Below are 24,402 nucleotides of genomic sequence, written 5' to 3' on the forward strand. Positions count from 1 at the left end.
GGTCTTTGACCACACTGCCAAAAGCAATCTACAAATTCAATGCAATCCCCACCAAAATACCAACATCATTCTTCACAGAATTAGAAAAAACAATTTTAAAATTCATTTGGTACCAAAAAGAGCCCACATAGCCAAAGCAATACTAAGCAAAAAGAACAAATCTGGAGGCGTCACACTACCTGATTTCAAACTATACTATAAGGCCATAGTCTCCGAAACAGCATGGTACTGGTATAAAAATAGGCACATAGACCAATGGAACAGAATAGAGAACCTAGAAATAAACCCAGATACTTACAGTCAACTGATCTTTGACAAAGAAAACAAAAACATAAAGTGGGGAAATATAAAGACCTGAAACTAAATATAAGACTGAAACTATAAAAATTCTAGAATATTGGAAAAATCCTTCTAGACATTGGCTTAGGCAAGGATTTCATGATCAAGAACCCAAAAGTAAATGCAATAAAAATAAAGATAAATACTTGGGATTTCACTACTAAAGAGCTTTTGCACAGCAAAAGGAAGAGTCAGCAGAGTCAATAGACAGCCCACAGAGTGGAAGAAAATCTTCACAATCTATACATCTGACAAAGGACTAATATCCATAATCTACAACGAACTCAAATCAGTAAGAAAAAAACAAACAATTCCATCTAAAAGTGGGCTATTGGCTGGGCGCAGTGGCTCATGCCTGTAATCCTAGCACTTTGGGAGGCAGAGGCAGGTGGATCATTTGAGGTCAGAAGTTTGAGACCAGCCTGGCCAACATAGTGAAACCCCGTCTCTACTAAAAATACAAAAAAAATTGAAGGGGTGGCCTGCCCCTCCACACCTGTGGGTATTTCTAGTCTGGTGGGACGAGAGACTGAGAAAAGAAATAAGACACAGAGACAAAGTATAAAGAAACAATAGTGGGCCCAGGAGACCGGCACTAGGTACACCAAGGACCTGCACCGGCACCGGCCTCTGAGTTCCCTTAGTTTTTATTGATTATTATTTTCATTATTTCAGCAAAAAGGAATGTAGTAGGAGAGCAGGGTGATAATAAGGAGAAGGTCAACAAATTACATGTGAGCAAAAGAATCTATATCATGATTAAGTTCAAGGGAAAGTACTATGCCTGGACGTGCACTTAGGCCAGATTTATGTTTCTCTCCACCCAAACATCTCAGGGGAGTAAAGAATAACAAGGCAGTATTACTGTAAACATGTCTCGCCTCCCGCCACAGGGCAGCTTTTCTCCTATCTCAGAGTTGAACAAATGTACAATCGAGTTTTACACCGAGACATTCGGTTCCCAGGCGCAGGCAGGAGACAGTGGCCTTCCTCCATCACAACTGCAAGAGGCTTTCCTCTTTTATTAATCCACCTCAGCACAGACCCTTTACGGGTGTCAGGCTGGGGGACAGTCAGGTCTTTCTCATCCCACGAAGCCATATTTCAGACTATCACATGGGGAGAAACCTTGGACAATACCCCGCTTTCAAGGACAGAGGTCCCTGCGGCTTTCCACAGTGCATTGTGCCCCTGGCTTATTGAGACTAGAGAATGGCAATGACCTTTAGCAAGTATACTGCTTGTAAGTATTTTGTTAACAAGGCACGTCCTACACAGCCCTAGGTCCCTTAAACCTTGATTTTATACAACACATGTTTTTGTGAGCTCCAGGTTGGGTCAAAGTTGCTGGGTCAAAGTGGCTGGGTCAAAGTGGCTGGGGAAAGCTACAAATTAACATCTCAGCAAAGCAACTGTTTAAAGTACAGGTCTTTTTCAAAATGGAGTCTCTTATGTCTTTCCTTTCTACATAGACACAGTGACAGTCTGATCTCTCTTTCTTTTCCCTACAAAAATTAGCCAGGCGCAGTGGTGTGCACCTGTAGTCCCAGCTACTCGGGAGGCTGAGACAGGGGAATCGCTTGAACCCAGGAGGTGGAGGTTGCAGTGAGCTGAGATGGCACCACTGCACTCCAGAAGCCTGGGTGACAGAGCAAGACTCTGTCTCAAAAAAAAAAAAAAAAAAAAAAGGCGGGGGGGCTATTAGAGAAATCCAAATCAAAACCACAATGAGATATCATCTCACACCAGTTAGAATGGCGATCATTATGATCATTAAAAAGATAGGAATCAACAGATGCTGTCAAGACTGTGGAGAAATAGGAATGCTTTTACACTGTTGGTGGGAGTGTAAATTAGTTCAACCACTGTGGAAGACAGTGTGGCGATTCCTCAAGGATCTAGAACCAGAAATACCATTTGACCCAGCAATCCCATTACTGGGTATATACCCAAAGGATTATAAATCATTCTAATATAAAGACACATGCACACGTATGTTTATTGCAGCACTATTCACAATAGCAAAGACTTGGAACTAACCCAAATGTCTATCATTGATAGACTGGATAAAGAAAATGTGACACATATACACCAGGGAATACTATGCAGCCATTAAAAAGGATGAATTCATGTCTTTTGCAGGGACATGAGTGAAGCTAGAAGCCATTATCCTCAGCAAACTAACACAGGAACAGAAAACCAAACACTGCATGTTCTCACTCATAAGTGTGAGTTGAACAGTGAGAACACATGGACACAGGGAGGAGAACATCACACACCAGGGTCTGTTGGAGGGTGGGAGGCAAGAGGAGGGAGAGCATTAGGACAAATACCTAATGCATGCAGGGCTTAAAGCCTAGATGACAGGTTGATAGGTGCAGCAAACCACCATGGCACATGTATACCTATCTAACAAATGTGCACGTTCTGCACATGTATCCCAGAACTTAAAGTCAAATAAAAATAAATACATAAATAAGTCGTTTCTGAAATTTTGAAAAATAAAAAAGTGGGCTAAGGACATGAATAGACAGTTCTCAAAAGAAGATGTACAAATGGCCAACAAACCCATGAAAAAATGCTCAACATCACTAACGATCAGGGAAATGCAAATCAAAACCACAATGCGATACCACCTTACTCCTGCAAGAATGGACATAATCAAAAAATTAAAACACACAGATGTTGGCATGGATGTGGTGATTAGGAAACACCTCCACACTGCTGGTGGGAATGTAAAACAGTACAGCCGCTGTGGAAAACAGTGTGGAGATTCCTTAAAGAACTAAAAGTAGAACTACCATTTGATCCAGCAATCCCATTACTGGGTATCTACCCAGAGGAAAAGAAGTCATTATACCAAAAAGATACTTGCAAACACATTTTATAGCAGCACAATTTGCAATTGCAAAATCATGGGACCAACCCAAATGCCCATCCATCAATGAGTGGATAAAGAAATTGTGGTATATATATATATAATGGAATACTATTTAGCCATAAAAAGGAAAGAATTAATGGGATCTGCAGCAATCTGGATGAGATCAAAGACTATTATTGTAAGTGAAGTAACTCAAGGATGGAAAACTAAACATCATATGTTCTCACTGATATGTGGGAACTAAGCTATGAGGACTCAAACGTATAAGAATGATACAATGAACTTTGGAGACTTTGGGGGAAGAATGGGAAGGGGATGAGGGATAAAAGACTACAAATAGAGTGCAGTGTATACTGCTCGGGTGATGGGTGCACCAAAATCTCACAAACCATCACTAAAGAACTTACTTACATAACCAAATACCACATGTACCCCAAGAACCTATGGAAAAATACATACATAAATAAATAATACAGAGCTGGCACTGTGCAATGAAAAAGGAAAGGCTTTTGGGTGAGTGCTGCTGGATCAAATGGAAGTACACAGTGAAATAAAATCTAGATGGACTGTAGATCTAAATGTGAGATGTAAAACTATCACGCTACCAGAAGATAATGAAAGATACTCTCTTATGTTATTAGAGTAGGAGGGAAAAATCTTAAATTGGATTAAACAGCTTTGGCTATAAAGAAAAAGGAACTTGTATTGATCAAAGACACCACTAAGGTTGTTTGTTTAAAAAGTCACCGACGAAAAGAAAACATCTGCAATATCCATGACTATCAAGGGAATCATTGTAGTGATAATAACAGTAATATTTATAAATTAATAAAGAAAGATTGTCAATAAAAGGGCAAAAAGCATGAACAGACAACTCACCAAAGGATGTCTCCAAATAACCAATGAATAAATGAAAAGTTGTTCAATCTCATTGACCATTAGGAGAATGACAATTGAACCAAAATGAAACAAAATTACATTCCACCAGAAATGCTCTGTTAATATTGACCACAGGAAGTGCAGGTGAGGGTGTGAGCAACTTGCACTATCAAAGCCTGCTGCTTTGACGCTGAGAGCGTCAGCTGAGTCATTTCTCCGTGAAACTCTGCCATTCTCTCTTGAATCCCAACATACACATATCACCTAGAGTTTCTACTGCTAGATGGATACCCAACCAATAGTCATACACATAGAGAAAGCTTTTGGTATGAGGTGGCATTAAAGTGAAATTGCAGTAATTATTCCCTGTGGTTTGAGGTTGAGAGAATAAACACAGAAAAGAGCTGTATTTCCCTGAAACCAAGCAAGGATTCCACCTGGCTTGATACAGAGTGAGAACCAACCCAAGAGAGCGCAGTGACCGCAGTGAGCATGTGGGAGGCCCACCTGAAGGTCTGTGGGTGACAACGGGAGGGGGTGAGGAGTGAAATATAAATCTGTTTGGGGAATTTCCTGGCTTCCTTGCTTCTGCCTCTATCACTTCACTCCCGAATCTCCAAGGTTTTGAGGCCTCCATGGTCATCATGCAGTTGTGACACTCAGCTGAATCCACCGTGCAGGGGCACTCGGCCTTTCGAGGAAGCCTCCTCCTTCCCACTCTTGGTTTTGTGGTATTTACTTCCCAGGCCTTCTCTTGCCTTCCAGGCCCTCTGTTTGCTTACCCAGCGCACAGGGCTCACCTGGTCAGAACTGGAACTTCTCAGCACTCCCTCTAGTACCTTTTCCCTTCTGAACTTTCTTCTCTGGTAACCTCATCCAGGCCCTTCTCTTCAATTACCACCTTTGTGCACAGATTTCTATCTTCAACCAGACCTCTGCTCTGCAGCCCAGAGCTGGCGTATGCACCTGGTGGTCCCACGGCCACTCAGCTCTTGGTCCCCACCCTCGACCCACAGACTTGGGTGAGTCTCCGTGAGCCCCTCTCGTGCCAGGGCCACTGTCCACCACAGTGTGCAAACCTCAGCACTTCCCAGCATGCAGTTACTGTATTTATACACTTGTTCATTTTTTTGTTTCTCTCTTTACTGGACTGTAAATGCTGTTATTGTTGGACTTAATGACTTGGCCAATATTGTATCCCTGGGACATAGCAAGTATTCAGCACAGTTGCTGAATAACTAAGTAAATAAATAAGTAGATAATAAATCATGAGTTAATGGATTTTTCCCATCATGACAACGGCAGAATGTACTTCCCTCATTTAGAAAGTTGGGTTCTGCAGGCTTCACCCCACGGATGTAATCTTCTCCCCTCCCTCTCCTGGGGTCACTGCAGTGACTTCTGCTTGCTCCGCTCCGCCGAAATGCACCCCTGAAAGTCACTCCCATTGCTGTGGAAGCCTCCTGTCCAGACCTGGTCTCCTGATCACTTGGCCGTGTTCTAGAATGCACAGCTCCTATCTACTAATTTCTAATTCACTACCGGGATAATTTTCATCTTGTTCTTCCATCTTCACTGTCAATTAAAATCAGTTATTTTTCCATGCAGAAAATATAAATTTTCTTACATTTTATTTATCTTTATTTTTACATTAGCTCTTTCATGCTACATTTTTACTTTTTCAAAACATATTTAGAAGAAAATTTGAGGAGACAGATACTTTCTGAACTCAATCGTACCCAAAGGTTTTCTTTTCTCAACAGAGTGAAGGATCATTTAATTTCTCTGATTCATTCAATGGCCTAGCTGAGAAATTTATAAACTGATAGTGGAATTTCTTAAAGACATTTTAGATAACAAGGGAAACATCATGTTTAATGTGGCAGAAATTCAGCCCCTGAAACATTGTTTAACAAATCACCAGCTGAATCTTATCATAGAAAAACAGATTTATTTTTCAGACAGTTTTGAGAGGTATCTAAAATTCAGTACGTGTGCTGAACCTTCGAATGCTTTTGAAGGAGTTTGTCTGCTGAAAAGCTAAATAGCATCAAACTTAAAAGCGTATTTCTCCTGACATCAGGATGTCGGCTGATACTAGCCAGAATGAAATGTGTTCTTTTCCAACATTTTCAGTCTATGGGCAAGACTTGAGAAAACAGCAGTGACCTTTCTGCCTTCAGCTACCTCAGCAACCCTTTGTCCTATCTCTTTGCAATCACATATTTTTTCCAATATGTGATTCTAATAATTACATCTTCAGTGTTGCTGAAGCAATTTGACAAATAGTAATTAGATTTCAAAAGGATAGTTCATTTCATAAGGATAGTTTGGCATCATGATTTCTAATGATAAATACAACATAAAGTTTCTAAAATGCTGATGAAAACACAAAATCTAAGGCTATTTCATGCCTGATAACTAGAGCATTAATCATCCCGTTAAAGATATGTGTATGCATAGATACATACGCTTAAGGTGCGGGTCCCTTCAACAGGCCCAAATATTTACGTGCCTGTATTACAAGCTGTTCATTCATGGATCACAGAATGCTCAGTTCTTGAAAACTAGTGGTGGAAAGGACATCATTTAAACTCATTCTGACCTGGCCTTGAATCTCACTTTTGCAGCTTAGGGGCTTCTGTTATCTTGTAGGAACAATGGGAGTCCTCCGGGGAAGAGCTTCCTCGTCTGGGTCCCCCACGCAGAGCCTGCATTAGCCCTGAGTGGGTGGGTGCACACTGTGAGCCCTGAGTGGGTGCACACACGCGTCTCACACGCAAACCAGGCCGCAAAGGAAAAACCCGGACTGAGCTCCGAGTCCTGCCTGAGAGCTGCTCCTGGTTTCCCGGGCAGGCAGGAATCTCCAAGCCTCCTCCAGGGTGATGGGGAGAGGCCAGTCAGCGTTTGCTAACTGCAAATCACGGGTGGGAACGACCACAGCATAAGCAGCGCCTGGCACGGTGCCGAAAGCCAAGTTGAGGTGATGAGCCACGGGCTGGGGGATTTGAGGGGAGACGGTGCAGGGAACCCACAGAGCAAGACAGGGCCATGTCCCCTGAGCAAAGCCTGGAATGGAGACAGCACCTCTGGCCTCGCCCCGCCCGTGGCTGAGCCCCGCTGGAGAGATACGGGGCTGTGTGTCGTGGCTCTGGATGGAAATCCCTCTTTCCTCCCTTCCTGACTCGGTCTTTCTAACAGACGGCGCTGGCCCTCCTGCTGTGTTATCTCAGTGGCACTGTTTGTTCTGAGGCGTCTTCATGTTCCTCCTTCCCGTGCAGCCCTGGGCATTCCTTTACCATCAGCAGATTCCACGCTGTATTTTTATACACACTGTCGTGTAAAATACACACAACACTTGCCATTTTAACAATTTTGAAGTGCACCGTTCAGTGACAATAACCACATTCACGCTGTGGTACCGCGGACACCTCTTCCATCTCCAGAACCTTCCACCTTCTTCTTCCCCGGAAACTCCGCACCCATTAAACGAGTTAAACGACAGCGCCCCCTGCCCACCCCCCAGCCCGGAAGCCCTCGCTTTACCCTCAGTCTCTAGAAACTTCACTGCTGTAGATTCCTCGCAGAAGTGAAATCCTGCAGCGTTTGTCTTTTTGTGACTTGGCATAATGTTTTCGATGTTTTTGGGTTGAATCCATGTGGAAGCATGTGCCAGCATTTCCGTGCTTTTTAAGGCTGGATAACATTTCACCATCTGTGCGCCCCACACCGTGTTTACCCGTTCATCCAGCGATGGCTCCTGGGTTGATGCCACATTTCCACTACTCTGCGTGGTGCTGCCAGAAGCAGTGGTGCACGGATCCCTCCTATCTGAATCCCAGCCTTTGGTTTCCATTGCTATTTGTTGGAATATACCCAAAAGTGGAATTGCTGATCATATGGTAATTCTGTTTAGTTTTTTGAGTCTTCACACAGTTCTCTACAGTGACCAACTATATTATATTCCTCTCCATACAGTTTCCTACCGTGACCAACTATATTATATTCCTCTCCATACAGTTTCCTACAGTGACCACATTATATTATATTCCTCTCCATACAGTTCTCCACAGTGACCAACTATATTATATTCCTCCCTATACAGTTCCTTACAGTGACCAACTATATTATATTTCTCTCCATACAGTTCTCCACAGTGACTAACTATATTATATTCCTCTCCATACAATTCCCTACAGTGACCAACTATATTATACTCCTCTCCATACAGTTCTCTACAGTGACCAACTATATTATATTCCTCTCCATACAGTTTCCTATAGTGACCACACTATATTATATTCCTCTCCACAGAGTTCCCTACAGTGAACACACTATATTATATTCCCCTCCATACAGTTCCCAGCAGTGACCAACTATGTTATATTCCTCTCCATACAACTCTCTACAGTGACTGGACTATATTATATTCCTCTTTACACAGTTCTCTTGGTGACTGCACAGTATTATATTTCTACCATGAATGCTTAATTGTTCTGATTCCTCCACAACCCAACAAACGCTTGTCATTATATGTTTTGTCTGTACATTTTTAAATATTAGCTGTCTTACTGGGTATGAAAGTTTGTGTGTGTGTATGAAGTATATTTTATATCATATTTTCATTGCTTTTTTTCTACCCTAATAGATTGAAGCTCAGATTCAAGAATCATCTCCATGTGTACCTGCCATAGACTGAACGTGTCCCCCAAATCCACAGTTGGAAACCTAATGGCCAAAGTGATGGTATTAGGAGGTGGGAGCTTTAGGAGGTGATGAGGTTTTGCTGGTGGAGCCTCATGAATCATCATGATAAGATTAGTGCCCTTATGAAAGGGACCCAGAGAGCTCCCCTGTCCCTTCTGCTGTGTGAGGACACAGGAAAAAGGCACCGTCCGGGAACTGGAAAGCAGCCCTCACCTGACAGCAGATCCACCACCATCTCGATCTCGAACCTCCAGCCTCCAGAACTGGGAGAATAGGTTTCTGTTATTAGAGGCCACCACGTTTATGGAATTTTCTTAGAGAAGCTCAAATTCACTAAGACAGTGTTCTCACACATTGCTTATGCATTAGCCCAAAGACTGGCACTTAATGTACATTTTGCTAAATGACATGACATAGAATGGAAGGCAAATTTGTCCTGTGATGATTTAGGTATACTGAGAATATAAAGACCTGTTATTCTGATGAAAGTAGTCAAAGTAATGTACCTTTTACAAGTGATGATGTAAGCATTTATGACAGAAAATTTCAAGAACATGGGAGTAGACAGAAGCATAGTGAACTCCTGTGTGTTTAACTCCAGCTTCAGCAACTATCAGCTTGTGTCCCAGGTGGTTGTATCTATACTTTCACAGCCCCAAAAGGACATTTTTGGGCCAAGGAAGAGAGACCTCCTTCCCCGTGGTTAGCTGAGTGTTTTTATAATATTGAATTTTGTCAAATGTTTTTTCTGCATCAAGATAATTTTTTCCTTCTTTTCTTAATGTAATGTGTTACATTCATCGATTTTCTGAGGCTGAACCACACTTGCATTTCTGGCATCTGTCGCACTTGTGCAGGGTGTAAAATCCCTTTAACATGTTGTTGAACTTGGGTTGCTGCCTTTGTTGTAGAGTTTCCGAGTGTTTACATTCATAAGAGACACTGGTTGGCAGTTTTCTTTTCCTGTTGTGTCTTGTCTGGCTTTGGTGTTGGGGTAATGATGGCTTCACAAGATGGGTTAGGAAGTGTTCTCTCCTTGCGTGTATTTTGGAAGGAGATTACTTTGTTTGAGGATTGGTATTAATTATTTCAATGTTTTCTAGAACTAGCCAATAAAACCATCTGGTCCTGGCCTTTTGTTTATTGAGGAATTTTTGAAGACTGAATCGATTTCTTTACTCCTTATAGGTCTGTTCAGATTTGTATTTCTTCTTGAGTTGGGCTTGGTAATTTCTGTCCCCAGAACTCTTTCCATTTCCCCAGGACACCTAATTTGTTGGCATACAACTGTTTCCAGCATTCTCTTATGATCCTTTCAACATCTGAAAGGGTGGTAGTAATGTACCCACTTTTATTTCTGTATTTGGCTATTTACAGCATCTCTCCTTTTTTAGTCAATGAGCTAAGGGTTTGATAATTTTGTTTATTCAAAAAAATGTAATCTTTGGTTTTGTTGATTCTATTTTTTTTCCTCTCATCTACTATGATGATCAGCATTTTAACCTTCAGCATCTCCGCACCTCTGCTAGCTTTGGGTTTAGTTTGCTCTTCTTTTTCTAGTAAGGTTAGGCTATCAATTGAGATCTTTTATTTTTATTTTTTTTTTTTACTTCAGGCCTTTTTACCTATAAATCTCCCTTTGAAGGTTGCTTTCTTTTCAGATCATAAGTTTTGGTAAACCTTGGTTTTGTTTGTATTTATCCCAAAGTATTTTCTAATTTCCTTTGCAATTTTTTTTCCTTTACAAATTAGTTGCTGAGGAGTGTGTTGCTTAATTTTTTGATTTCTTCATTCTATTGGTGATCAGAGACAAGGCTTTGTATGAATTCAGTCTTTTTACATTTGTCGAGGCTTGTTTCACAGATTAACATCTCTTCTATGCTGGAGAATGTTCCGTGTGCGCTTGAGATGAATGTCGGTTCAGCTGTTGGTGGGTGGGGTTTTCTGCGGGCGTCATCTAGGTCATTATCACTCCTCTGAATATTGTTCTTGTCACTACTGAAGTGAATATTGACATTTTTATGAACTCTCCTTTCCATTCTGTCAATGTTTTCTTCATATAGTGTGGGGTTTTTCTGTTTGATGTATATTTGCTTGTAATTTTTCTATCTTCTAGATCAATAAACTCTTTTATCAATTATTCTTCATCTCTTATGACCCTTTTTGACTTAAAGTCTGTTTTTCTGGTCCTGGTGCGGCACCCCAGCTCCTTCTCCATATCTTCCTGCAGGACGACTTCTCTGCCATCCCCCTCACCCTACCTATTCCTTTGGCTCTAAAGCAAATCTTGTGATTACTAGGTCATTTTAAAAATTTTGCCAAGTTTATACCTTAGCCAGTGAGTTTGATGCTTCTATGTTTAAAGTAATTAACTACAAGAAGGATCTTCTGCCATTTTTCTATTTGTTTTCAAGTCTTTGTTGTTCACGATTCCCCTTATACAGCCTTATTTTGTATTTGATTGACGTACTCTACTCCTTTGATCCTTGACTAATTTCTCGTCTGTATACACTTTTTAGTTATTTTCTTTATGCTTACCTTTGACATTACAAGTAACATTCTAATCTTACAGCGATCTATTTTGAATTGATCCAGCATAGCTTCTGGAACATACAGACTCTGCTCCTACACAGCTCTAGAGCCTGATGTTGCTGTCACAAAGGATGCCCTTGTGTGGCGTGCACCAAGTTAACAGCAATTACAGTTATTGTTTTATCCCCTCCCTGGTTTTAGTAATAGCTGGACAGACAAGATCATGGTGGAAAGAGGTACATGTGTAAATGGTGCCGGCTCTGGACAATTCTTGCTTTATATTTTGAAACTTAATTCCAGAGAAACATTTTTACAAAGCATCACGTGGCTTTGGGTTGCGATGGAGCCACGTCTAGTTCATCTCCACACTCTGGTCACCTGTATCACTGAGGGTCCAGAATGTACAGCTGCTTCTCCAGTCTCTAAAACTCTCACCTATGCCTTTCAAGTTATGTAGGAAAGGAAAAAGGGAGTTACAAACAAAAATACAATGATGCCGGCTTTTTTTTTTTTTTTTTTTGAGACGGAGTCTCACTCTGTCGCCCAGGCTGGAGTGCAGTGGTGCGATCTCAGCTCACTGCAACCTCCGCCCTCTGAGTTCAAGCGATTCTCCTGCCTCAGCCTCCTGAGTAGCTGGGATTACAGGCTCCTGCCACCGCGCCTGGCTAATTTTTTGTATTTTTAGTAGAGACCAGGTTTCACCATCTTGGCCAGGCTGAACTCTTGACCTTGTGATCCACCTACCTCAGACTCCCAAAGTGCTGGGATTACAGGCATGAGCCACCATACCCAGTGGATGCTGGCTTTTATATTTACCTATGTGATTACTTTGCCAATGTTCTTTATCTTTTTTTTTGTATGGCTTTGAGCTACTCTTTTATTTTTTAGCAATTTGGGAGAAACTTGCAACACACAGGATAGAATAGATTGTCCTACTGACACAAAAACTCCAAAATATTAGTTTCTTTAACAATAAGTGTGCTCTGTTTCTTACCACATGTGCGCTGCGGGTCAGGAGGAGGCTCTGTGCATTTCCCTCGTCAGGGCCGCGGGCTGTGGAATGCCCACCTTCAAGGGCAATACCATTGGATGAAACGCTCTGTGGATTTGCACTGTGCAACATGGCAGCCTCGAGCCACATATGGCTCTGAGCGTTTGACCTGTGACAAATGCAACCGGGAAACTGAATGTTTAATTCTATTTCATTTTAATGAATTTAAATTTAAATAGCCACATGTGGCTGGTGTCTCCTATACTGGACTGCAAAGGTCTAGAACGTGTCTGGTGTCTCTGATGAGACAAAGAACTCGGCTCTTGCTGGTTTCTTCCCAGCGATGGCAGAGTTCACTTTTCACTGGCTAAGGCAAGTCAAATGCCCCGGCACAACCTCAAGGGGGCAGAAGAGTGCAGTTTTAACAGGTGCCCAGAAGAAGGAGAACCGGAAGCATCGCTGGACATCAAGGATTCTGCAAAGCAGAGAATAAACCCCAGATTGCTTAGGGGAAACCAGCTGGGTAGCGGTTTAATGGTTGGAGGAGCATGGTCAGGGCAGTAAGTGAACACAGTACCAGGGGAATTTGTAGAGAAGAAATGAGGACCCAGGGTGAGAAATTGTTCAAGGCCAAAGACAGAAGTCGCTGGTCTCTGTCAACACTTCATCCTCAGGGCCTGCCTGCATGCTCAAGGGACCCTGGTTGCATGGCTGTGCAGGTGGCCCGAGCTGCCCAAACCTTGCTCTGGCACAGAGGCAGGCCCGTCAGGCGTGTTCCATCTCCCTGTTGTGTGACTATAAGAGAATTACCTGAGACTGGGTAATTTATAAGAAAAAATGTTTATTTAGCTCACTGTTCTGCAGGTTGAGAAGTTCAAGGGCCTGGCCTTGGCTCCCTGTGAGGGTTTCTGAGCTGGGTCATAACATGATGGAGAAGGTCAGAGGAGAAGTGAACAGATGTGGAGAGGACCAAGCAGAAGGAGAATCTGCACCTTGTAACAACAGTTCCAGTGGGAGCCAGTCCAGTCTCTGAGAGTGAAGCCACACTCAATACCTCACAAAGAAGGATTCAGTCCCAGGACATAAACACCTCCTGCCAGGATGTAAACACCTCCCACCAGGCCCCACCTCCAAACACTAACACATTGAGGATCACGTTTCACATGGAACTTGGTGGAGATGGCAAACCACGTCCAAACCACAGTCAGCTTCCTCACCTCCTGCAGTGCATCCTTGGCTGAGTTTACTCAGTATACCCAGGATGCTCATGTCCACTCACCAGATCTTCCATCTCATGCACCCTCACCTTCCAGATGCAGCTGCAGTAGTCCTCACCTCCACCCACCAGATCTGCTTCCATCCCATGCACCCTCGCCTTCCAGATGCAGCTGCTGTGATCACGTCCACCCGCTAGATCCTCTTCCATCCCATGCACCCTCACCTTTCAGATGCAGCTGGAAGCATGTGAAGCATAATAAATAAACTCAACTTAACCTCGTCTCTTATTACATCAAACCCCCGAGTTGGTGGTGTAAGTTGCCTAATTCTGGCTTTGGATCCCAGCTCCATTGCTTTTTTACTTGACCCTGCGTGAGTTCCTTAAGCTCCTGTGTGGCTTCAGGCAAAGTGTCTGGCCTTCCTCGGTCTTGCTTGGCACATTTGTGAGCCGAGTAAAATATATTATAAACTATTAATCCATAGGGAACAATGATCATGGTGTATTTTATTTTAGCTTTTATTTCAAAACACGATTAAGGAATGCATAATTTTCCTTTAATCATTTGTTTATATCTTTTCAACTTACTTAGATTTATTCTCTATTAACTAATTTTTGTTACTATTGTAATAATCAATAATTAGAAAAATAACCTAGCCATCACTGATTATTCGTGGGATTCAGGAACCCAATGATTTCCCTGAGAATCACCTTGCTGTAGGGACTGAGGGGAATTTTCCTGTTACTGAGCCTGGCCACTAGATGGATGCATGACCACCTCACTTTAGCTTTCTCGACTTTCAGTCCTAAAAAGACTTACAAGGATTCTGCACCTTTTCTCCCACCTCCCCCGTTCCTTGAATGGTGAATTTCTATAACATTTGATAACTGTTCTTTTAATAATTCTTGACCCTTTCTGTGCTTTCATTTAACCTCAAGTCTAGATTATTATTCAAATTGACTCATTTGGTAAAAATATATTGGGTATCTATCATGCAGCAACAGCTTAATGGGATCCCTCGTGAAGCCGTCAAGTGCTGAAGCTGTGAAAGCTGGGGCCGGCGGATCGGGTCGGGACTGCCGCTGTGATCACTTTTAGGCCAGCGTCAGCAGAAGCCTGTGTGATTGCAGGCAGATCTACGCTGTCTTTCAAACGTGGTGACACCGAGGTACAGCGTGGGGGACACGCAGCAGGGTTAAGGGTGTGGGGGGAGCTTGTTCGTCCTCCTTGGAAACCATGACACGGGGAAGGGGATTTAGGCCTCCTCAGTTCCACACTCCTCCTTTCTAGAGGCCAAGGCAGCCCTTTGATCAAGGTCACATTGCTCCTTAGAGGCAGCTCAAAAGCAGTTTCAGGAGGGAGCTCTCCACGTCTTTTTAGAGACAAATCTCCTCCGTGTGAGGGTCTCTGAAGCGGCAGGGTCCGTGGGGCCAGTGAGGCTGACTTCGTGGCTGGGCCCCCACAGTACAGCCACGATGACAGGGATGGGACAGCTGCACAGAGGTCAGTGAGCCCTGGGGATGAGGGGAGGAGGAGGGGAGGCCTTGGGGTGGGAAGGGGTTCCTGAAGAAGGTTATTCTAGGTGGGGCCTGAAATAACTCCTTCTACAAATGAAGAGGCGACAGGTGTGGGATAGAGGGTGGAAGGGGCAGACCATCCCAAGAAGACACCAGGACACTGAAGTGGCTGCTGGGGTGGGTGTGTTGGGTGGTGGAGGGGCAGCAGGCCCTGGTCATGGAGATGAGGCTGGGGATTAAACAGTGGCTCTGTCACAAAGGCCTTCTATGCCATCCTTGCACGTGTGAATTATTTTTTTCAAAATGCAATGGAAAAACTTATTTTCAATCCTAAATCTTGGTCTATTCTATGGTTTAGAAGTTTGGAGACTTACCAGAATACTGATTTATTACCAGCAGTAGGCTCAGGGATATATTGTGGGAATGCTTATGACCTTTATTTCTTCAGGAAAATGAAGTGAATATGAACATTATTAAATTTTTGCCAAAGGTTTTTTTGCCAAAAAAACTTTTCTCATTGAAGAGAGTTATAAATGTTTGCTTGAAAAGTATGTGTGCATTGATTGGTCATCTATAAATTAGATTGGATTTTTCAGCCCGATTTATTATATTGGTTACTTCACAAGGTCACACTGCCTTGAATATTATTTTGCCATAGCAACACGAAGGGGCAAGACAAGGAAGAGGATGAGGAGGAGGAAGAGAAATAAGAGGCGTCAACATCAACCCCCTCCGGTGTCAGCTGGTGAACGTCATCCACGTGGTTGGACATTAAATATGAGCCCTTTAGGAAAAGTTGGGGCCATAAATACATTATTAATACCTATGTGGGTGGGCCAAGTAAGTGACCCACATGTGATACTGGAAACTGAAAAGTGGAAGATGAAAAGAGCTTGTGTGGTGGGGAGAGGAACAGAGTCTCCATAATCAGAATGCTTCAGGGGCTGTCATGCTGGAACATAAATTAGTACACAATTTTGATAGAAGACATTTTGAATGCATTAGAACAACTTTAGCATGGTTCCTACCATGTGCTCAGCAATTTAACAACCAGGCATTTTACCAAAAGAATAAGCATGCCAACCTAAGCAACATAATGAGACTCTGTTTCTACAAAAATAAGAAAAAAATAGCCAGGCATGGCGGCGTGCTCCTGACATCCCAGCTTCTCAGGAGGCTGAGGCGGGAGGATCGCTTGAACCCAGGAGGTCGAGGCTACAGTGAGTTGTGATCACACCACTGCACTCCAGCCTAGCTGACAGAGTGAGACCTTGCCTCAAAAAAAAAAAAAAAAAAAACCATGTACGGTGAGATTTTGTAACAGAGGCGACAATTGATCAAGTGTTTATTTAGAGAAACTATTGGAAATGAAATATTAGAAATAAACTAAATATTCAAGAACAGGCAATTATCAAAAATGTTATGGCATATGCATAAAATGAAATGCCATGAAATCATTATGTATTATGATGAGAGAAATATGAAAAATTAATGAAACATAGTTATCATGCCCTAGTTGTTCTATGTGTCACCATTCTATGGCATTACATTAAGGATGCCTTATCTTTAATTTTAGTTTTCTATATATTGAAGTATCATTTACATAAAGCAATGACCACAAATTTCAAACATGAAGCTCAGTGGATTTTCCCCATATACACAACTGTGTGCACACTACCTGGGTATAGATACTAAACACATCTACCACAAAGGCTGATCCCTGCTCCCTCCCAGCCAGCAGCCCTGGGAGCAAACATCACCACAACCTGTTCTGAAGATTCATTTCACTTCTATTTTGAATTTCATATGAATACATATCTTATGTTATCATATGTATTATCTTGCTTCTGGCTTCTGTCAAGCAACATTATAGCAGTGAGATTCATAGTTTTGCAGTGTAATCAGTTTGTTATATTTTCTGTTGCAACATAATATTCCATTATGCAACATATTTATCCATTTAACTACAGCTGAACAGTTAGATTCTTTCTAGTTTTTTAGCTCTTATCAATAAAATTGCTATAAACATTTTTGTGTCTGTATTTTGGTGGGCATAGCAGTCATTTATATTGGGAGTAGTGGAACTACTAACTCACAAGTGCATGTGTGTGTATGTGTGTATGTGTGTGTGTTTCTCCATTGTAGATATCACCAAACACTTTTCCAAAGTGGTTGCACCAATTTCTATGTCCATGGGTGGTGCAAAGCTGCTTATATATTTATGAGCTACGTGGACAACTCTTTTGTAACACACATGCACACAGACATCGCCTTGCTTTCTCACTCTCATATGTCTTTTCATAAATAAAAGTAAACTTTTACTCAAGTTCGATTTATTCATTCCTTCATTTATTGTTGCCATTTTTGGAGGATGAAATTATTTGTATTTTTGAAATTTTGATATATCAAACTTATGGAAATGTTATAAGAATAATTTTTACAACTGTAGACAATGTGTTACCCAGACACATCAACTGGTACATTTTGCCCCATCACATTATCTATCTATCTAATCTATCTAATCATCTATCTATCTATCTATCTATCTATCTATCTATCTATCTATCTTTTTCTGATCCATTTGATAGTAAGTTGTGGACATAGTGGTTCTCTAATTTTTAGATACTTCATTGTGTATTTCCTGACAGCCTGAGCACAGTTATCAGTATTGGGAAATTTAATTGTAATGCAATACTATGATCAAATCCATTATCTATATACTGAATTAAGTACTGTATTATCTAGTGTCCAATTTATTAAAACACAACAATACCCTTGACAGCTTCTCTTTTCAGAGTCCTGGAAGAAGACCCGGGGCAGGGTCACCTGCTGCACGTGTGGTTGTACCTGCCGTCTGCTATGTGGTCGCACCTGCCGCCCTCTCTCACCTGGAGCAGCTCCTCGGGAGGTCTTTATCTCTCCTACCTTGACACACTCCGAGTTCAGCCCAGTGATTTCTTCCAGCCCCCTCAATCTGGGTTTGCTGATGCCTCCTCCACGTCCCATGCAGGTGTTGTCTGTGCAGCAGCAGCACGCTGAAGCCCCAGTGGCCTCTCCAGGCTTCCTGTTAATACCCCGGTGCAGGCGAGGCGGTCCTGCCTCCATGCTGATGCTGACTTTGATCACGTGGTTAAGGGGCTGTTGGCCAGTTTTCTCCACCAAAGTTATAACATTTCCATTTGTAACTAATAAGTGAGTAACTCGTGGGAAGATACTTTTTGTCCTGTTTCTTTTCACTCATGATTTTCTAAACTCACCACCCGTTCCTTCTATATTTATTTGCTGTCATTCTGCTGTGAGTGAAAACTTTTCCTTTTCATTTATTTATTTAATCAGTCACTTACTAACACCACTTATTTATTTGTTTCAATTATATCAGTATAGACTTATAGAGTCTTTTTTGTTTTTCCTTTTTGTAGCGACAGGTCTGGCTGGATGCCCAGGCTGGCCTCAAACTCCTGGGCTCAAGGGATCTTCTGGCCTCCACGGTGCCACCACACCAGGCTAAACTCATGGATTTTTATCGTGTTAATTATCACAATACTTTACTACGGTCACTCAGTTTGGCTGTAAAATGGTCCCAGCTCTGGCTGATGGGAGCCTCTTTGAGCTGTTTAAGTGTCTCTGAACGCGCACCAGCGTTCTCTGAAGACTTTCTCACTCTCTAAGGCATCAAGGCTCCCCCGCCTCGGTCTTGGACTCGGCTCTTTCTCCGGGACCCTGGTTCTCGTCAGTGGAGAATGAGATTTGGAAACCAAGCTCCGGACCCTTGGCGAGCTCGATGCTCTTGGGCCCTCTCAGTGGGCAGAGCCAGATGATAGGCGTTTAGGAGGCTGAAACTTCTCCGATGTAACGTAGTCCACGCATGTCCACGTCCTCCCCAGCAGTCAGAGACAGACCACTCCCCTCAAGATACTTCCCCTGTGTTAAACAAGATGGCTTCAGAATTGCTAACTCACTCCCCTGCACAAAACAGGTGACTAGTGTTCAGCCCTTGCTCAGTTGTGGAGACAGAATTTACACGCAGTGAGATGCTCAGTGCTTCTGTGCGTGACTCAGTGACTTTGGCAACGCGGCCGCCGACAAACTCACATTCCCATCAAGACACGGAGCATTTCTCTCAGCTGAGAAAGTCCCGCTTGGGACACTTTTATTCCTAATGAATAAGCGTTCGTAGTTCTAGTGCCCACTGATCTGAGAGTCAGAGCTTACGACGCCGAGCTCCCTACCTCATGCTGGGTGCATCCCCGCGGGCGGGTGTCAGGTGAGGCCACCGCTCACCTGCCCCAGAGGTCACTGAGTGTGTCCGCCTTTCGTTTTTTCCTCCTTAGTTCCCATTTGCCCGGTCTCTTTCAGGAGCTCCACTTTGTGAAAATTCACAGATGCTGCTGCTCTACAAGAGAACGTGGAGGCTGAGAAGCCAGCCACGGAGCTTCTGGTGTCCACACATCAGAGCCTTGCACAGTCCACCACGCCGGAAGAAGGGTCTTCTCCCCCAAACCTGTGTCCTGTGTCTCCATCCACGTCTGTCTCTGTTAATGGTTAATCTTTAAATGTTTACTTTTAAATCATGTACACATTTACATAATTGAAAGCACTGATTCATTCTACCATTCTTATTTTTAAAAACACCAGAGCCTTTATAACATTCATCAACTTCTTTTTCTCACAGAAAATTCTTTTCACCATTTGCCACTTCTTTTGTTTTTTTTAATTGAAATTGAGTTCATAAAAGACACAATTATCCACTTTACAGTGTCCAGTGTCCTACAGCCACCATCTCCCTCGAGTTTCACGAGTTTTCATCAGCCCAGCACACCCTGGACCCGTGACTCCATTTGCCTCCTCCAGGCTCGGCACCTACTATCTTCTTTCTGTCTCTGCAGATATGCAAAGCATCAAATGAGATGTGTCTGATCTCTTTCACTTGCCATGTTTCTGATGTTCATTTACTCTGTGGCAGGTATACTATTTAAATCTTTTTTATAACTGAACAGTATTCCTCTGTACATATGTATCTTAATTATTCATTCATGCATCCACTAATGAATGTGTGGGTTCTTTTACCATTTGGATATTATAAATAACGTGGCTATAATTTGGGTACATTTTTCTGTGCAGATATGTTTTCATTTCTCTTAGATATATACCTAGAAGTGGGATTACTGTGTCACATGGGAATTCTGTGTTTAACTTTTTGAGGAACCACGTCACTGTTTACCAGTCTCTGAGTCACTTTGCATTCCAGCCAGTGAGGTACGAGGGCTCCTGTTTCTCATCAACAGTTTTATTATTATTATTATTATTATTATTATTATTATTTTATTTATTATTATTATGATTTTTGAGATGGAGTCTCACTCTGTCACCCAGGCTAGAGTGCAGTGGCGCGATCTTGGCTCACTGCAAGCTCCGCCTCCCAGGTTCATGCCATTCTCCTGCCTCAGCCTCCCAAGTAGCTGGGACTACAGGTGCCCACCACCACGCCTGGCTAATTTTTTTGTATTTTTGGTAGAGATGGGGTTTCAGCATGTTAGCCAGGATGGCCTCGATCTCCTGACCTCATGATCCACCCCACTCAGCCTCCCAAAGTGCTGGGATTACAGGTGTGAGCCACTGCGTCCAGCTTTATTTATTAGTTTTTTTAAGGTGGAGTCTCACTCTGTCGTCCAGGCTGGAGTGCAGTGGTGCGATCTCAGCTCACTTCAACCTCTGCCTCCTGGATTCAAGCAATTCTCCTGCCTCAGCATCTTGAGTAGCTGGGATTACAGGTGCCTGCCACCATGCCCAGCTAATTTTTATTATTTATTTATTTATTTATTTATTTATTTTGTATGTTTAGTAGAGACAGAGTTTTGCCATGTTGGCCAGGCTGCTGTTGTATCTGACCTCAAGTGATCCGCCTGCCTTGGCCTCCCAAAGTGCTGGGATCACAGGTGTGAGCCACTGCGGCTGGGCCGGGAGCCATTGCAGCTGGCCTCACTTTTATTATTATAATTATAATTACTATTATTGCCACCCTGGTGGTTGTAAAATGGTGTCTCACTGTGGTTTTGATTGGTATTTCCTTAACATTGAACATATTTTCATGTTCTTGTTGACTGTTTGTATATCTTCTTCAGAGAAATGTCTATTCAAGTCCTTGGCCCATTGGTTAATTGGGTTGTCTTTTTATTTTTGAGTTGCAGGAGTCTTTTTATATATTTTGAACACTAGACCCTCTTCAAATACACAATCTGCAAACATTTTCTCCCATTCTGTGGGTTGTCTTTTCACTTTACTAATGGTGTCCTTTGATGCAAAAACCAAAAAGGTTTTAGTTTTGATAAATTTGTATTTGATTGTTTGTTTTTGTTGCCAGCACGGCCCTGACAGTGAACAGTCTCTTCAACAGATACTGCTGGAACACCCAGTTATCCAGACGCAGAAGAATGACAGTAGACCTGTATCTCACACCTTCTACCAAAACAACTCAAAATGGATCAAAGACATGAAATAAGAGGTAAAACCATAAAAGGCTTAGAAAAAAAAAACAGAGATATTGGATAATATCTTACTGTCTTAGACATGATGCCCAAAGCACAAGCAACAAAAACAATAAGAAATCATCAACAATATGTAGCAGTATATTCGTACTTAAATAACCTAGGTACTGCTGAAGAACAGTTATCAGTGAAGGGATATATTCTATAGGCAGGTGGAAATGGGGACTGATTTTGTATTTATGTGTCACCATCTACCAAAGAACATATAATTAGGATCCTATTATTTCTCACACTGTTCTTTTGGGCATATTCATAGTAGTACACAAGATTGCTTTGTGTGCACTGACAGCTTCCTAAATCAAGGAAGAGATCTTCCTAAATTGAGCAGTCAGCAGCACAAGGAAGGGAATCTGCATTATCAGAATGAAGGATGTCAGTGAGGAACCAGTGAGTGCTGTTTCTTCGAACCCAATGGGGAAACATCACACCTTACCCTAAGCCTTGTGCCAGAATTACGCATGTCTGAGCGCTTTGTTTGATATTGTTTATAACTTACTTTCCTTAGCAGTGAACCACTTGCTTTCTATTTGCCTTCCTCATTTCTGAGGACCTTCTGGTGTGGAGGCTGAGTGCTGGACTGGGAAGAGATGGTGCGTTAGTGCTGCACTGACCAGCTGCTCACTCCAGAGCAGATGGTCACTATGTCGCATTAGGCAAGGTGCTTTATTTTACCCCAATGGCCTCATTTTTATCATGAACTTGACTGTAAGTACCTTTCCAGGGTGCTGTGAGAATTAAACCAGAAGCACTCGGCACATCCAGGTCCTCAGGGCTTTCACCCTTGTTCCTTGTTATTTGTAAATGAGTCTTTCACGTAGCAAGCATTTACATAGACACCACTTCAAGGCATTGGTCTCTGTATTGATGATACAAAGATAAAGACATTGTACATTTTCTGCCCCTTAGGACATTTTCCCAGAGATTCTACAGGCTTTTTTGGAAATTTGAGTCTTCATTTCTTCAGAACAAATGCTCCCAAATGCACTAGCTGGGCTGTATCATTATTTCATGCTTTCCAGCGTGGTTCTGCAACTTCACCTCCCCCGACCTGCTGAGTGCTCCAGTGTCTCTGCATCCTCACCAGCGTTCTATGTTGTCACTATTTTATGTTTTTAATTTTAGCCACTCTGATAGATGTGTGGCCACAGCTTATTGCCCGTTTGATCTGTATTCTCCTACAGGCTGAGGATTGGGGCATCTTTCCACACCCTCCTTGGCATCTGTGTATCCTCCTCAGTGAAATGTCTGTTAATGCTTTTTTTCCCAGTTTCTGATTGCATTTTTCTAAACTGCTGAGTTGTGAGAATTCTTTCTATGTTAAAGTTCTGCTCCTTTTTTGTTCTTTGCAAATATATTTTCCCCCAGTCTGTATCCTGTCTTTTAATCCTCTTTATATGGGCTTTTGCAGAGCAAAATGTTTAATTTTGAGGAGATCCAGTTCATTAATTTCTTATCTTAGGAATCCTGCTTCTGGTGTCAGGTCTAAGAACTCTGCCAGGACCCAGATCCCAGAGATTCTCTCCTGTGTTGTTTTTAAAAGGCTGTATGGTTTTCAGATTTAAATTTAAGTCTTGATCCATTTACAGTTGATATATTAGGTGTGGGGTTTAGGTTGATCTTCTTTCTCTCCTTTTTCTTTTCTTTCCTTTTCTTTTTTTTCTTTCTTTTTTTTTTCACCTATAGATGTCCAATTGACCTATGTGTCCATCCTGCCACAAGTACTGCAGAATTTTGATTTCTGCTGCAGCAATATAATGTTTTGAAATTGGGTAGAGTGATTCCTTCCACTTTATTCTGGTTTGTTTTATACATTTCCTTTTAGCTTAGTGAGTGAGGCCTGGCTCTTGCTTTCTTTTGATGAATATCTGTTAACCTGTTCTGGGCCAGGAACTCTGTTTACAAAAGTAAACACTGTACTCTCATTGAATATGCAGCCTGTCAGAAGAGATAGAACAAAACAGAAAGTAACAATGAAGATAAAGTTTTTTAAAATTGGAGTAAATCTTATGCAGAAGAAAAGAACTGGAGTGGGTGAGAACATGGGTCCTTTTGGATAGGGCAGTCAGGTCTCTGCAAAGCCACATGTTTAACTCAGAAAAGCTGAGAAGCCACAGATACTCCAAAACACAGGGGTACAATGAGCTGGAAGCATGGACAAGCTCAGATCATGTGGGCGCTGGAGGAGGCAGTGAGGCCAGGGTGGGGCTGAGATGGGAGAAGTGGAGGTAGGAGCCAGGCTTGAGCTCAGATCATGTGGGCACTGGAGGAGGCAGTGAGGCCAGGGTGGGGCTGAGATGGGAGAAGTGGAGGCAGGAGCCAGGCTTGAGCTCAGATCATGTGGGCGCTGGTGGAGGCAGTGAGGCCAGGGCGGGGCTGAGATAGGGAAGTGGAGGCAGGAGCCAGGCTTGACCTCAACCCAGCCACAGATAACAGAGGAAATTGGAGCTTTCTCTGGAGATTGCGTGGATGAATCATGAATTGATCTGTGCTTGAAAATCATTGCTGTTGCTTTGGGTTGCAGGGGCTAATCGTGGAAATAGGGAGGACAGAGAGAAAGAGAGTGTCGCAGTCCAGGGAGGAGATGGGTCTCCTGAGCTTGGATTGGGGCAGTGGCACAGTAAGGATGTATTTGTGATGCATCTGGGAAGAAGAGTTAGGAGGGTCTGCTGCTGGAATGGACAAAAATGCTTTAAAACAAAGTTAAAGGGAGCTATGGAGACTTTTAGATTATAGCTGATGGACATGCCAGTCACTGGTGCTTTAAAACAAAGTTAAAGGGAGCTATGGAGACTTT

General features: G+C 42.6%; 1 long non-coding RNA gene across 1 annotated transcript in view, besides 3 other annotated features; it reads right to left on the minus strand.

Annotated features, from left to right (window-relative positions):
• The window catches only part of LOC105373358 (uncharacterized), a 34,222-nt gene that overhangs the window by 4,755 nt on the left and 5,065 nt on the right, over nucleotides 1–24,402 (minus strand). The window contains exon 2 of the long non-coding RNA XR_001739247.2: nucleotides 12,333–12,498. This is a non-coding gene — a long non-coding RNA (uncharacterized LOC105373358). The remainder of the gene's footprint in view (nucleotides 1–12,332; nucleotides 12,499–24,402) is intronic.
• Nucleotides 4,646–4,725: an enhancer, noted in NCBI's record as "active region_15218". NCBI's record gives its function as "activates an Ori minimal core promoter by ATAC-STARR-seq in GM12878 lymphoblastoid cells {active_cell/tissue: GM12878}" and the evidence as "EXISTENCE:reporter gene assay evidence [ECO:0000049][PMID:35858748]".
• Nucleotides 18,779–19,279: an enhancer, noted in NCBI's record as "H3K4me1 hESC enhancer chr2:720518-721018 (GRCh37/hg19 assembly coordinates)". NCBI's record gives its function as "activates a minimal SCP1, AML or CMV promoter by ChIP-STARR-seq in primed H9 embryonic stem cells {active_cell/tissue: H9 hESC(primed)}" and the evidence as "EXISTENCE:reporter gene assay evidence [ECO:0000049][PMID:30033119]".
• Nucleotides 23,346–23,847: an enhancer, noted in NCBI's record as "H3K4me1 hESC enhancer chr2:725085-725586 (GRCh37/hg19 assembly coordinates)". NCBI's record gives its function as "activates a minimal SCP1, AML or CMV promoter by ChIP-STARR-seq in primed H9 embryonic stem cells {active_cell/tissue: H9 hESC(primed)}" and the evidence as "EXISTENCE:reporter gene assay evidence [ECO:0000049][PMID:30033119]".

The sequence above is a fragment of the Homo sapiens genome, chromosome 2 (genome assembly GCF_000001405.40).
Source record: "Homo sapiens chromosome 2, GRCh38.p14 Primary Assembly".
Classification (NCBI taxonomy): domain Eukaryota; kingdom Metazoa; phylum Chordata; class Mammalia; order Primates; family Hominidae; genus Homo; species Homo sapiens.